At 44.7% G+C, this 13,966-nt stretch overlaps 1 protein-coding gene across 5 annotated transcripts in view, besides 1 other annotated feature; it reads left to right on the top strand.

Annotated features, from left to right (window-relative positions):
- Window positions 1–7,856, top strand: part of MYO10 (myosin X) — a 274,382-nt gene extending 266,526 nt beyond the window's left edge. For all 5 annotated transcript variants that reach the window (XM_006714475.4, NM_012334.3, XM_005248307.3 and 2 more), the window contains 2 exons: window positions 1,295–1,486; window positions 2,970–7,856. In XM_006714475.4, coding sequence (XP_006714538.1) covers window positions 1,295–1,486; window positions 2,970–3,071 — 294 coding nt within the window. In that variant the 3' untranslated portion in view covers window positions 3,072–7,856. The remainder of the gene's footprint in view (window positions 1–1,294; window positions 1,487–2,969) is intronic.
- Window positions 12,909–13,203: a silencer, noted in NCBI's record as "tiled region #7757; HepG2 Repressive non-DNase unmatched - State 24:Quies". NCBI's record gives its function as "represses a minimal TATA promoter and a strong SV40 promoter by Sharpr-MPRA in HepG2 cells {active_cell/tissue: HepG2}" and the evidence as "EXISTENCE:reporter gene assay evidence [ECO:0000049][PMID:27701403]".

The raw sequence follows: 13,966 nt of genomic DNA, 5'->3' as shown, positions 1-13,966 counted from the left end.
ATATCTGATGACTTTATATTGAGGCTGTATAAAATTCTAAATATTATAAATTCTAGAATCCGTGGGTGGCTTTTCATTAGGTGATGTTTTTGATTGGTTTGGTTGGTTCAATTATGCCTGTTTTTAAGTATAAAAAAATCAGGTGCTTTGTACAAAGCCATAATTCCATTTCTCCCTGACAAGGAATAGATAATAGCAGTTAAACTCTTGGCTTCCTGCAAAACGTGAGCTGTGAATTAGCATAGAAAGCTACTGGCTTGGCCGGGCGCGGTGGCTCATGCCTGTAATCCCAGCGCTTTGGGAGGCCAAGGCGGGCGGATCATGAGGTCAGGAGATCGAGACCATCCTGGCTAACACGGTGAAACCCCATCTCTGCAAAAAATTAGCTGGGCGTGGTGGCATGCACCTGTAATCCCAGCTACTCGAGAGGCTGAGACAGGAGAATCGCTTGAACTCAGGAGGTGGAGGTTGCAGTGAGCCAGGATCACGCCACTGCACTCCAGCCTGGGCGACAGAGTGAGACTCCGTCAAAAAAAAAAAGAAAAAAGAAAGCTACTGGCTTTTGCATGGAGGATGCAGAGAATGTCTGGTTATTAGGGATATAAACTAGAGACTCTTTTCAGCGTCTCCAATTTATAGCCCTCCTGCTTGTCCAGGTTTGGATCAGCCCTGTGTTGTTAGCCCCTTCATATGGGGTCTTATTTTCTTCCACCAATCTGTACAGGAAAGTCTACAGTTAAACTGGTAAAGTCCCTGTTCCCACTCTGCATATGGAAGGCCATTGCTGCTCCTTGTGAAGAGGAGCCAGAACTGCTCAGCATGCGTGATTTGGAGAATTTTCCTCTGTGATCCTAGATTTTGTATTTGAAGACTAACCATCCGCAAAGAGGATTGGAGGCAGAACTGGAGATATTAATACAAGAGTAGACTTGGCTTGGGTTGCAGGGAAGCTTCCTTAAGTCCCCCGGCCAAGCATGTACGTTTCCAGGCCACTTCCACGTAGCTAATCCAAACAGCTAGTAGAATAATGCTGAGAAGTGGAGAGTCAAAGCAAGATGTTAGACTCTGCCAGTTAGTGAGGTTTTCCCAAAAGCGTGAGATTAACTAGTTAGAAATCAAGATAGCCAGAGAGGTGCCATTTTTCATATTTCAGGCCCCTCCATGCATGCATGCACATCGAATATATTTAATCTTCTGCACAGAGGACTTCACTCAAAGCCTGTCTTATGGTTTAGATGCTTTCTGTTGCCAACCACTTCATGACTTAACTCTTCTGTTGACTCTTGCCCACCAGTGCAAGGAAGGTGGCTTCCCTCAGGAACTCTGGTTGGGTGTCAGCGCGGACGCCGTCTCCGTCTACAAGCGTGGAGAGGGAAGACCACTGGAAGTCTTCCAGTATGAACACATCCTCTCTTTTGGGGCACCCCTGGCGAATACGTATAAGATCGTGGTCGATGAGAGGGAGCTGCTCTTTGAAACCAGTGAGGTAAGAGGCAAAGCAAGTTCATCTTTTTATTCATGGTCTTGACAAAACAGAAAAACAGGACCCCATTTCCTCATGCCTTTGACCAGGTCATTTTCTTTGAATATTTTTCTTCAAAACACGAAAATACAGTGTGGTGGTCCCTTTCCAGCTGCCGGTTCCCTGCAGGCCAAAATCTGAGATCACCATATTTTTTTTGTATACTTTTGCAACAGAGGAATCTGGTTCCATTTTGCCAAGGAGTCTTACCCTTGGAGGAAAGGCAGAGAAAGGGAAGTGACATAGATGTCCCTGAAAAAGTATATTATTTGCAACAAAACCTTATGAAAATTAGTTAGCAATTATAGCGGTGTCACAGCTGTGAGACTCGGCTCTGGTGGCCTCTTGAGACCAGGAGGGAGCCGGGAGCATGACCATCCTGGGTGCAGCTCATTCTGGATTGTGAAACCACACACACTAAAAGGCCTCTAAATATATGTGCTACCAGCCTCCAAGTTTAAAAAATATAATACAAGAAGCTTATTGAGGCTTCCACAAAGGGAACAGCTAGCAAGTCAACGTGGTGAGTGGAGAGGAATCACCTGCTGCCTGGTTTGGAATGGAGAGGCATTGAGGAGGGCGTTCCAGCTGCTTGGAGGATGTGGCATTGTAGGTTCCCTAGGCTGATGGGGAGTCGTGCAGTGAGAGGGAAGAGGGTGGAGAGCCCTTGACTCAAGGGTCCCAGGTGCCAGGCTGCAGGATTTGGTGAGATCCAGTAGACAACAAGGAACCACTGTGGGATCTTTGATTGTGCATGGCATAACAGTGAATTTACAGACAGTGATCTCTGGGGTGGGACTGGAAGGGAAGAGAGCAAACAGGGATATGGAAGCCGGTTATGATGCCTGCACAGGGATCCAGGCCAGCTGTGAGAAGGGGTGGCAATGACGGGGACATCATGGGAGGGAGCTAATGGAGATCCCAGCTGGAGGAGGTGGCTGGTGTGGAGCAGAAGCTGGCCTGGCGTCTGGGGAGCTGGCCGCTCTCCCAGCCCCTGGGGCCTCAGTTATCTTGTTTCTTCAGCTGCTTCCTAAGGAGTTGACTAGAATTAGATGATCCAGTCTTTAAAGGCTGTAATTGTGGACTCTGTCATTTCACATTTATTTTAAGCGGGGATAGTAATCCCAGCACTGTTGACACCGAGTAACTTCAGCGTCCTCGGTTAGTTCTGGATTTTAATGTGCAAAGTCTGACAGTTTCCATCAAGCCAAGTTGGCACGTTTGTGCCACCAGGTGGTGCACATTGTATTTGGAAAAGCTGAGATTCCACCTTTCCCTGATGAGGAAGGTGAAAGTGGTTAAACTTCTGGCTTCCTGCAAAATGGGATCCGTCGATTAGCATGGAAGGCTACGGGAGGGTGCCCAGGGAATGTCTGGATTATTAGGCAGGGCCCTTTGCCTGGGGGAGACTTGTGACGCTGTGTCGGTTCTGCTTCCCCCTGGGCAGGTGGTGGATGTGGCCAAGCTCATGAAAGCCTACATCAGCATGATCGTGAAGAAGCGCTACAGCACGACACGCTCCGCCAGCAGCCAGGGCAGCTCCAGGTGAAGGCGGGACAGAGCCCACCTGTCTTTGCTACCTGAACGCACCACCCTCTGGCCTAGGCTGGCTCCAGTGTGCCATGCCCAGCCAAAACAAACACAGAGCTGCCCAGGCTTTCTGGAAGCTTCTGGTCTGAGGGAGGTGTCTCCGAGGATCCTTTTGCCTGCCGCCTTCATTGATCCTGTATTAAGCTGTCAACTTTAACAGTCTGCACAGTTTCCAAAGCTTTACTACTCTTAGAGGACACATGCCTTAAAAAAGGAGGGGAGGAACCACGCTGCCACCAAAGCAGCCGGAAGTGCCTTAACTTGTGGAACCAACACTAATCGACCGTAACTGTGCTACTGAAGGGAACTGCCTTTCCCCCTTCTGGGGGAGACTTAACAGAGCGTGGAAGGGGGGCATTCTCTGTCAATGATGCACTAACCTCCCAACCTGATTTCCCCGAATCTGAGGGAAGGTGAGGGAGTGGGAAGGGGGATGGAGAGCTCGAGGGGACAGTGTGTTTGAGCTGGAGTGCTGCGGGCAGCCTTTCTCATGGAATGACATGAATCAACTTTTTTCTTTGTTTCATCTTTTAAGTGTACGTGCTTGCCTGTTCGTGCATGTGTTCATAAACTCAACACTTTAATCATGGTTTCATGAGCATTAAAAAGCAAAGGGAAAAAGGATGTGTAATGGTGTACACAGTCTGTATATTTTAATAATGCAGAGCTATAGTCTCAATTGTTACTTTATAAGGTGGTTTTATTAACAAACCCAAATCCTGGATTTTCCTGTCTTTGCTGTATTTTGAAAAACACGTGTTGACTCCATTGTTTTACATGTAGCAAAGTCTGCCATCTGTGTCTGCTGTATTATAAACAGATAAGCAGCCTACAAGATAACTGTATTTATAAACCACTCTTCAACAGCTGGCTCCAGTGCTGGTTTTAGAACAAGAATGAAGTCATTTTGGAGTCTTTCATGTCTAAAAGATTTAAGTTAAAAACAAAGTGTTACTTGGAAGGTTAGCTTCTATCATTCTGGATAGATTACAGATATAATAACCATGTTGACTATGGGGGAGAGACGCTGCATTCCAGAAACGTCTTAACACTTGAGTGAATCTTCAAAGGACCCTGACATTAAATGCTGAGGCTTTAATACACACATATTTTATCCCAAGTTTATAATGGTGGTCTGAACAAGGCACCTGTAAATAAATCAGCATTTATGACCAGAAGAAAAATAATCTGGTCTTGGACTTTTTATTTTTATATGGAAAAGTTTTAAGGACTTGGGCCAACTAAGTCTACCCACACGAAAAAAGAAATTTGCCTTGTCCCTTTGTGTACAACCATGCAAAACTGTTTGTTGGCTCACAGAAGTTCTGACAATAAAAGATACTAGCTAACACGCTGTGTGTTTCCTTTATCAGAGGAGGCTCTAAAAACCATGGAGGGGAGGCTTATTTTTGTTTTGGCTTTTTGGTGGTTTTTTTTTTTTTTCTTTAGAGACAGAGTCTCACTCTGTTACCCAGGCTGGAGTACAGTGGCGTGATCTCGGCTCACTGCAGCCTCTGCCTCCTGGGTTCTAGCGATTCTCCTGCCTCAGCCTCCCAAGGAGTTGGGAGTACAGGCATGCATCACCACGCCTGGCTAGGTTTTGTATTTTTAGTAGAGATGGGGTTTCACCATGTTGGCCAGGCTGGTCTCGATCCACCTGCCTCAGCCTCCCAAAGTGCTGGGATTACAGGTGTGAGCTACCGCACCCGGCCGGCTTTTTGGTGTTAATGCTATGGTTTCAGTGTCTGGGCTTTGTGTTTGTTTCATGGACTTGCTCATCAGGTCTAAACACAGATCTGCAGCTGTCTCCACTGCTCTTGTAGACACTGAGTGTGACTTCAAGAAAGCAAAAGAAGGGACTGGTAAATGAAGTCACACACAGCTGAGGACTTGAAATGTGTTTATGTCAGACAGTCCCCTATGTCAGCCCCAAAGTGTGCCTGATCTTGCAACCCTGGATCCTAGAACCTGCCTGCACCTCCCTGTGGACCAGAACACACAGGTAGGCAGTTTGGTTGCCAATGTACCCAAACCACCAGGCCAGGCGTCTAGCATGAGCAAGCGCCACTTCTCTTGCAGACCACTGACTCCCACCCTCTGCTCATGCTCACGGATGGCTTCTTCCCATTCTGCAGGGATTGGGATGGAACCTGAAGCCAGGTGCTGCCTGAAGCCTGTGGCCCCGCCAGGCACCCAAGGAAAGCCGGCAAAGACTTGGATGTGTGTTGTCTTTGTTTTTATTTTAGGCTCAGAAAGAATTTGACAGAAGTCTTCTTTCTACTGCTCACCTCTCAGGATTCCCTCTGTGACTTAATTTACTCTGGAAGGCTGTCGCCCGCCCTCAATTATAGATGGGGAAATAGGCAAGGAAAGGCATGACTCAGATTGGGGGGGTTAGAGCAGCACCATAGTTAGAACATAGATTTACATGTGAGCCTTTACATGGCATAGTTGTGGTTTTGTTTTAGCCTTTTATTTAGAAATAATTACAGACTCAGAGAAAGTTGCAACAGAACGTACAGGGAGGCCTGCGTGCCCTTCAGTTTCCCCAGTGGTAGCATCCCCCATCACTGTAGAGCAGCATCACAGCTGACAAAGTACCGTTGAGCTTCCCCTAGCCACAGAACCTATTCCAATTTTACTGCTTTTACATGCACTCATTGGTGTGTGTGATGTCAGTTGCTTTCAACAAGGTCAGTGAAGTGCAGTCGTCCCTTGGTATCCAAGGGAGATTGGTTCCAGGACCCCCTCCCCCCACCCCTGAGGATACAAAATTCACAGATGCTCAAGTCCCTGCTATACAGTGGTATAATATTTGCATAGAACCTGCACACATCTTTCCTTACCCTTTAAATCATCTCCAGGTTACAGATACCTAGCACAACATAAATGCTGCATAAATAGCTGTTATACCGTGTGTGTCTGTGTTTTAAACATTGTTTATTTGAGACAGGGTCTCACTCTGTCACCAGGCTACAGTGCAGAGGCACAGTCACAGCTCATTGCAGCCTCAACCTCCTGGGCTCAAGCAGTCCTCCACCTCAGCCTCCCAAAGTGCTAGGATGACAGGTGTGAGCCACTGTGCCCCACCAAAAAAAGTTTTTTCAAATATTTTCTATCTGTGGTTGGATTCAGACCACATGAACACTGAGGGCTGACTGTAGTTTTGAATGTCTGTTACTGAGGAGGCACCAGCATAAAGTATTTTATCACTTCAGACGCTGACAATCTAGTATTTTTAATTTTTAAATCTTTTGAAAGCTAATACATATAGGTGATTTGTAAAAAAAAAAAAAAAAAAAAAAAAAAAAAAAAAAAAAAACAACTAGAAGTAAAATGTTACTTTTTTCCAGCTGTAGCCCTAATTACCCATTTTCCTTTCCCAGAAACAGCTATTTTTACTGTTTTATTGAATATTCTCTCAAAAATAATTTAAGCTGTCCAATCATTTACTCATACATACATATATATCCCCATCCTCATTTTTAATAGATGGAAACAAACTGTTGTAGCTTACTTTTTTCTCAGCATAGTATTTTAGCTCTAATCCTACATTAATACCTATAGAATTGCCTTATTCTTTTTGATGATTATATAGTACCTCAGATAGCTCTGTGGAAAAACAGGATAAGGCCATCTGTATTAGTCCATTCTCACACTGCTAGAAGGACATGCCTGAGACTGGGTAATTTATAAAGAAAAAGAAGTTGAATGGACTCAGTCTCACATGCCTGGGGAGGCCTCACAATCATGGTGGACAGCAAAGGAGGAGAAAAGGCACATCTTATATGGCAGCAGGCAAGAGAGCTTGCACAGGGGAACTCCCTTTTATAAAACCATTAGCTCTTCCGAGACATACTCACTATGGACAAGAACAGCATGGGAAAACCCACCCCCATGATTCAATTACCTCCCATCAGGTCCCTCCCGTGACAGGTGGGGATTATGGGAGCTATAATTCAAGATGAGATTTGGGTGGGGACAGAGCCAAACCATATCACCACCTAAGTTCTCTGTAAAAATAGTTTCAGCCAGGCATGCTGGCTCACGCCTGTAATCCCAGCATGTTGGAAGGCCGAGGCAAGAGGATCGCTTGAGCTCCGGAGTTCAAGACCAGTCTGGGCAACATGACAAGACCCTGTCTCCACAGAAAATTAACATTAGCCAGGTGTGGTGGTGCGCATCTGTAGTCCCAGCTACTGGGGAGGCTGAGATGAGAAAATCGTTTGAACCCAGGAGGTCAAAGCTGCAGGGAGCCATGATGGTGCCACTGCATTCTGGTGTGGGTGACAGAGCAAGACTCTGTCTCCAAAAAAAAAAAAAAAAAAAAAAAATAGTTCAGAAATCTAAGACAGCACTTTTTTTAGTTACTAAGCCTTTTATTCAGATAGCACACTAAATTGGGGTCAAAAATCTGCTATAGTAAAGTTCTGTATTTGTGTGTATTGGGTATAAAAATAAGCGCTTTAATTAATTTGAAAATCCCTATTCACCAAAAGTTTATACTGTAATAGGGGACAAAACAAGTGCATAAAGCTAAATTTAGCCAGTACATTTATAACTGTTTCATTCAGTTGATCAGAGAAGCATCACGATTGCTGGAAAATATCGGACCTGGATTCAAGGTTTGGCATTGCTGTTTTCAAAGTATGTAATCTTTTAGATCAGGGGTCAGTGAACTACAGTACAGAGACCAAATCTACCCTGCCACCTGTTTTTGTGAATAAAGTTTTATTGAAACAGATCTCTGTGTATTTGTGGATGGTTTGTCTATGTATGCATTTGTACCACAACAGCAGAGATGAGTAGTTGCAACAGAGGCCCCCTACAAAGCTGACAATATTTACTCTCTGGTTCTTCATAGAAAGAATGTGCTGACTTCTGTTGCAGGTAATTATGGAAGTATGTTTCCTTTAGAAGCAAAGCTACAGTTAGAATTTTGATTCCATGTGTGATGCAAGGAATACAGTCCCCAGTTTTAAGATTGTTGCTTTAAGTGTTTCTTACCCACTGTTTTGCATGAATCTCCTCCCTCCCTGCATTTCCTTATCAGTGCAAAGTGGCTTAGCATCACCTATCTTTGTATTTGATAAATCCACAGATGAATGAAAGCTTCTGTGGGACCAGATTCTATCTTCCCTCTATGTGCCCCAAGATATCTAGCATCGTGCCTGCTTGGAATGTTCTGGGCGCTCAATTTAGCCATAGATCATACCACTGATCTCCATAATAAACTTTAAGCAACTTATGGAGATCAGACAAATGCACATAAAATGTGAAATGACCACAAAAGGTAGCACAGCAAGTCTTGTGATAATCAGGAAGTAGTATTCCAGGTGCCAAGGCAGGTAGACTGATGTGACTGGGATGACGGGGGTCGGGGGGGAGGATGCAAGGTGGAGGGGTGTGGACCTTGAGCTGGCCTTGCAATATGGCAGGACTTGGGATGGGAGAGGAAGGGATTCCTGGTGGAGAGCGCTGGGAGCACAAGCGCAGGTGGGGTGTGGAGATGGGCATGGGGCAGGTGCAAGGCAGGGGTCAGAAGCCATGCTGTGGCTCCCTTGTCCCGATCCAAAATAGTGTCCTCATTAGTCTTCCACCCTTGCCCTCCCACCATGTGTCTATCCTATTCTCCACAGACCAGATACCTAGAGAGATCTTTAGAAAACATAAACCCAAATATATTTATTTCCTATGTGAAACCATAACTTTCTATACCACTGAAACGTAAATGTTTATTCCTTTACAGCCCTGTGTTTTTCTTCCCCCGCCCCCCACTCCCCGCCCCGCCAGACAGAGTCCAATTCTGTCGCTCAGGAGTGCAGCAATCTCAGCTCACTGCAACCTCTGCCTCCCAGGTTCAAGTGATTCTCCTACCTCAGCCTCCCGAGTAGCTGGATTACAGGCGCCCATCACCATGCCTGGCTCATTTTTGTATTTTTAGTAGGGATGAGTTTTCACCATGTTGGCCAGGCTAGTCTCGAACTGACCTTGTGATCTGCCCGCTTCGGCCTCCCAAAGTGTTGGGATTACAGGCGTGAGCCACTGCACCCGGCCGAGCCCTGTGTTTTCTGCCTCTGCGTGCCCCTCCAGCCTTGTCTCAAGCCTCTCTCTACCTCACTCATATTCCAGCCGGACTGGCTGTGGCTTAGCAGCATTTGTCTTGGTCATGCTTTCATTGAGTTCCCATTTTACCAGTCTCACAACTTAGAGCATTCTGCAATGACGAAGGTGATGAATGTTTCCTGGTGACAGAAGCTGTACTTTCTAAGCCCATGGCGATCTGGCCATCATATGTTGGTAAATGCTTACCAACTGGCTCTCTGGGGGAAAAAAACAACAAAAACAAAAACCCTGCTTCACAGAATTTGCTGATTTTTCTGGTGTAAATAAATAACCCTACCATGGCCAATTTCAGGCTCCAGGGTATCACCACTGGAAGTGGAGTTGGAATGAGATGCACACAGCTCACAGTCACCTCTGGCAAGCCGGTAGGAGCCAGAGGTCCTGCACACCACCGACAAAACACAATGGAGAAGAGATGTCTTTTGTTTAAATTTAAAAATGATATTTGCTGGTTCAGAAGACAACCTCTGAATGAAGTAGAAAGAAGAAACTTACAAAGCCTTAAGCACTCCAGCCTGTTTTGGTAGGGGGTGTAATTAAGGTGGGAAAATTAAAAATGTAGTATAGCATCTGTTTCCATCTTTAGTTTTCCCAAGGACTTCTATTTTTACTTTCAAGTAATAACTGGGTTACAGTTGATAAGCAGTTTGAGACATAAACAGGATTTACGGACTCTAAAGTATTCAGACATTTGCTTGGTGGGAACCAGTTGTTACATTCAAGTTCTCATCATTCCCTCATGATATGCTGGGGAAAATACCCAGTGATTCCTACAAATCCCATCTATTGGGGGAATAGTTGTCTGTGAGTTCACTGAATGACTTGGCATTCAGGAAATTTAACAGGCCTCTTAACTGGAGATAAGATAACCCCAAAGACCAACACCAACCATCTTTATTAAGTTGCTTAGAGGCTGTTAGTAAAATATATAAATATATAAGGCAATAAGACAATTAACAGAGTATGTGGACCATCTGGGTTTGTGTTGAAGGGGTCCAGAAAGAAAGTGTTCAAAGAGATAAGTTTTGAAGGGAGAACATTTAGCCCCCAGATGCAGATTTGTGGTATGCAGAGTGAGCACATGCCAGGGCAGTGGAACCAAAGAATGGCGAAAAGTCATGAGGCAAAAATGAGCAGAATGGGGATTTCTAAAGTAATTCTTTCTTACACTCTTTCCTTTGTGTTACTCTGTTAATAATCTCTCTTTGATGTAATCAATGGCATTAGTTAACATTTGCTCAGCACACGTTTCAGGCTTGGCACCAAGTGTCTGGTTTTGTCCTTGCCATGAGATAGGCACTATTTATGATCTATTTTAATATCTATTTTAGTGAAGCTACTGAGATTTAGAAAAGAGTTTATTTAACTTGCTGTAACAGTTAGCTTTGCTGTGTAACAAATCACCCCAATTTCAGTAGCTAAAATAACATCCACTTCTTTTTTTTTTTTTTTTTTTGGAGACAGAGTTTTGCTCTTGTCACCTAGGCTGGAGTGCAATGGGACATCTCGACTCACTGCAGCCTTCACCTCCCAGGTTCAAGTGATTCTCCTGCCTCAGCCTCCCAAGTAGCTGGGATTACAGGCATGTGCCACCATGCCCAGCTAATTCTTTGTATTTTTAGTAGAGATGGGGTTTCACCACATTGGCCAGGCTGCACTCCTGACCTCAGGTGATCCTCCCGCCTTGGCCTCCCAAAGTGCTAGGATTACAGGCGTGAGCCACCGTACCCAGCCCAACATCCACTTCTTTAGCTCATGATTCAAGGTGTTGTCAGTTTGAGCTGGCTCACCTGGGCAGCCTCTCCCTGCTGGGCCCGCTCATGGCTCTTCAGTTCAACTATAGCGAGGTGAACAAAGTTAACCTTGTCCAACTTTCTCATTTTGGGGACCTTGGATGAGAGAGTTGAGCTCCACTCCACATGTTCGCTCATCCTCCAGTTACCTAGCCTTGGCCAGTTTATGGGGCATTTTGCAAGGTCCCAAGAAAATGAATGGGAACAGGCAAGTCCTCTTGAGATTAAAATTCAAAACTGGCACATTGTTCGTTCCACCACATTCTACTGGTCAAAGCAAGACATAATGCCAGAGCATTGTCAGGAGGCAGGGAAATAGACTCCATAACTTTATGGAAGTTGCTGTAAAGTCATTCAACAAAAAGTTGGAGAATTGTGGCCACTTTTGTAATCTATAGCACTTGCTGAAAATCACAAGACTATTATGGACAGGGAATTCAGGTCCAGGGTCATCCGTCTCCAAATCTCACTTGATATACTTTGGTTATCTGTCCCTTTCCAAATCCCCCATGTTGAAATGTAATCCCCAGGGTTGGAGGTAGGGCCTGGTGAGAGGTATTTGGATCCTGGGGGAGGATCCCTCATGGCTTGGTGCCACGATAGCAAGTTTGTTCTCATGAGATCTGATTGTTTCTAAAAGTGTGGCACCTCCCGACTGCCCTTGCTCCCACTCTGCCATGTACTGTGCCTGCTCCCATGCCACCTTCCACCGTGAGTAAAAGCTCCTTGAGCCCTCCAGAAGCCAAGCAGATGCTGGTGCCAGGCTTGAAGAGCATGCAGAACCATGAGCCAAGTAAACTTCTTTCTCTATAAATTACCCAGTCTCAGGTATTTATTTGGCAATGGAAAAATGGCCTAACACATTGCCGTTTCATCACAAAACTATGCCAAATCCAAGCAGTTTCTCTATTTTTCACTGGCCTCCTGATAGGACCACACCCATTCTATGTGGCATAATTTACCATCTGATCACCAGCTCCCTTTAATTAGACATGTACTTTCAGCATAAACACACACATGCCCACAATCTTATTACCTTCTCCAAGTTTCTGCTCATATTCTTCTCTTGCTTGAAATGACCTTTCTCCCTATTCACATTCTCTTCATCCATGATAACTTGGTTCAGGTTTTAATTTCTATACAAAGCTGCCTGTGACAGAGACTGCTAACTAACACCCAGTAATCTGGCCTTTCTCTCCTTTTACCTTTTAGTAACAGAATTCCCCTACGTTTTGGCTTGCAATGCATGCTTAGCCACAGAATACATTTCCCAGCCTCATGTGCAGCTTAGTGTGTGTGGCCATTTTAAAACATACTGCAACTTCTTGTTACCTCTCCCATAAAAAGGTGAAGTCTAATTCTTATGAATATGGGTCAGCCATAGTGATTCACTTCTAATGAGGAGAATGTGGAAGAAATGATACTGCATGACTTACAAGCCTAGGTCATAAAAAGTGGTACATCTTTACTTACTGTTTCTCTGACATGTAAGAAGTCTCCCTAGCCAAAAGATGCCATGCCAAATAGACTATGTTAAGGAGGCCACACAGAGAGGAAAGCTTGACACACCCCAGAGGTACCATACCTCAGCTGTTTGTCTTCCCAACCTCAGCCATAAGATAAGTCAGTGAGTCTCTAGATTATTCCAGCCCTTAGCTTTGAATTACCCCAGCTCAAGCTGAGGGGAGCAGAGCTAAGTTCTCCCTGCTAAGATCTGTCCAAATTGCAGTTTCATGAGCAAAATAACTTGTTTAAAATGATCACTAAGTTCAGTGGTGGTTAGTTTCACAACTGTAGAGAACTGGACATATTTTGGCACTCTAAACATGAGGTGCTGCCATAACCAAACCTAAAGCATGTGGCTTTGGGACTGAGCAGTGGGAAGAAGCTGGACTTAAGAAACATGTTAGTGAAGCATCAAGGACTTCAAAGAAATCATTAGCAGAGGCTTGATGACCCTCTGGAGGATTGCTGGTGAGGACTTACAGGAAAGTGAGGAAAATATTATTGGAAGCTGGAAAAAGAAAACCTTCGTGATGCAACAGCAGGAAGTTTAGTAACACCGTTGCCTGTGGCAATGTGGGAAATAGAAAAAGCACCTAATGAGCTAAATGTTCCAGCTAAGGAGATTTCCAGAGAGTGTGTTGAAAGTACCACCCAGTTTCTTTTTGCTATAAAAAAATAGACAAGCTAAAGCAAGCTAAAGAAAGAACTGTTAAATATAAAGGAGCCAGGACTTTCTGAGTTGAAAATAAAACTGATTTTCATTCTTAGTTTCTCCAATTGACATAGTGATTGCTAAAATTAAGAAATGGTTTCTGGAAGATATCAAATTCAGGGCACTGTCAGGACAACATAGTCTAAAGATGAACCCAAAGGTGCAATTGTAAAACTCTATGTGACGTTCTTAGAATTAAAATCAAAGTTCTCTAGAGATCATCAGGGTAGATCCTTTCCACCACACAACTTGGGCTTCTAAGAATCTTTTTTTTTTTTTTAAGGCAGAGTCTTGCTGTGTTGCCCAGGCTGGAGTGTAGTGGCACAATCTGGGCTCCCCACAACCTCCGCCTCCCAGGTTCAAGCGATTCTCCCACCTCAGCCTCCTGAGTAGTTGGGACCACAGATGCATGCCACCATGACTGGCTAATTTTTTTATTTTTAGTAGAGACGGGGTTTCACTATGTTGGCCAGGCTGGTCTTGAACTCCTGACCTCAGGTGATCCACCTGCCTCAGTCTCCCAAAGTGCTGGGATTACAGGCATGAGCCACCATGCCTGGCCAAGAATCTTAAATGAATTATTCCAGAGTCACCTTTCAGGGATCCCAGTGTAGAAAGACTTATCTTGAGATACATAGATGAGGCTTTTGTTTAATGGAGTGAATTCCAGTAGGTTACATAGTAAACCCAAAATGTTGTAAGAGGATTATATGGAAC

The sequence above is a fragment of the Homo sapiens genome, chromosome 5 (assembly GCF_000001405.40).
Source record: "Homo sapiens chromosome 5, GRCh38.p14 Primary Assembly".
Classification (NCBI taxonomy): Eukaryota; Metazoa; Chordata; class Mammalia; order Primates; family Hominidae; genus Homo; species Homo sapiens.
This window is presented reverse-complemented; position numbering and strand designations above follow the sequence as displayed.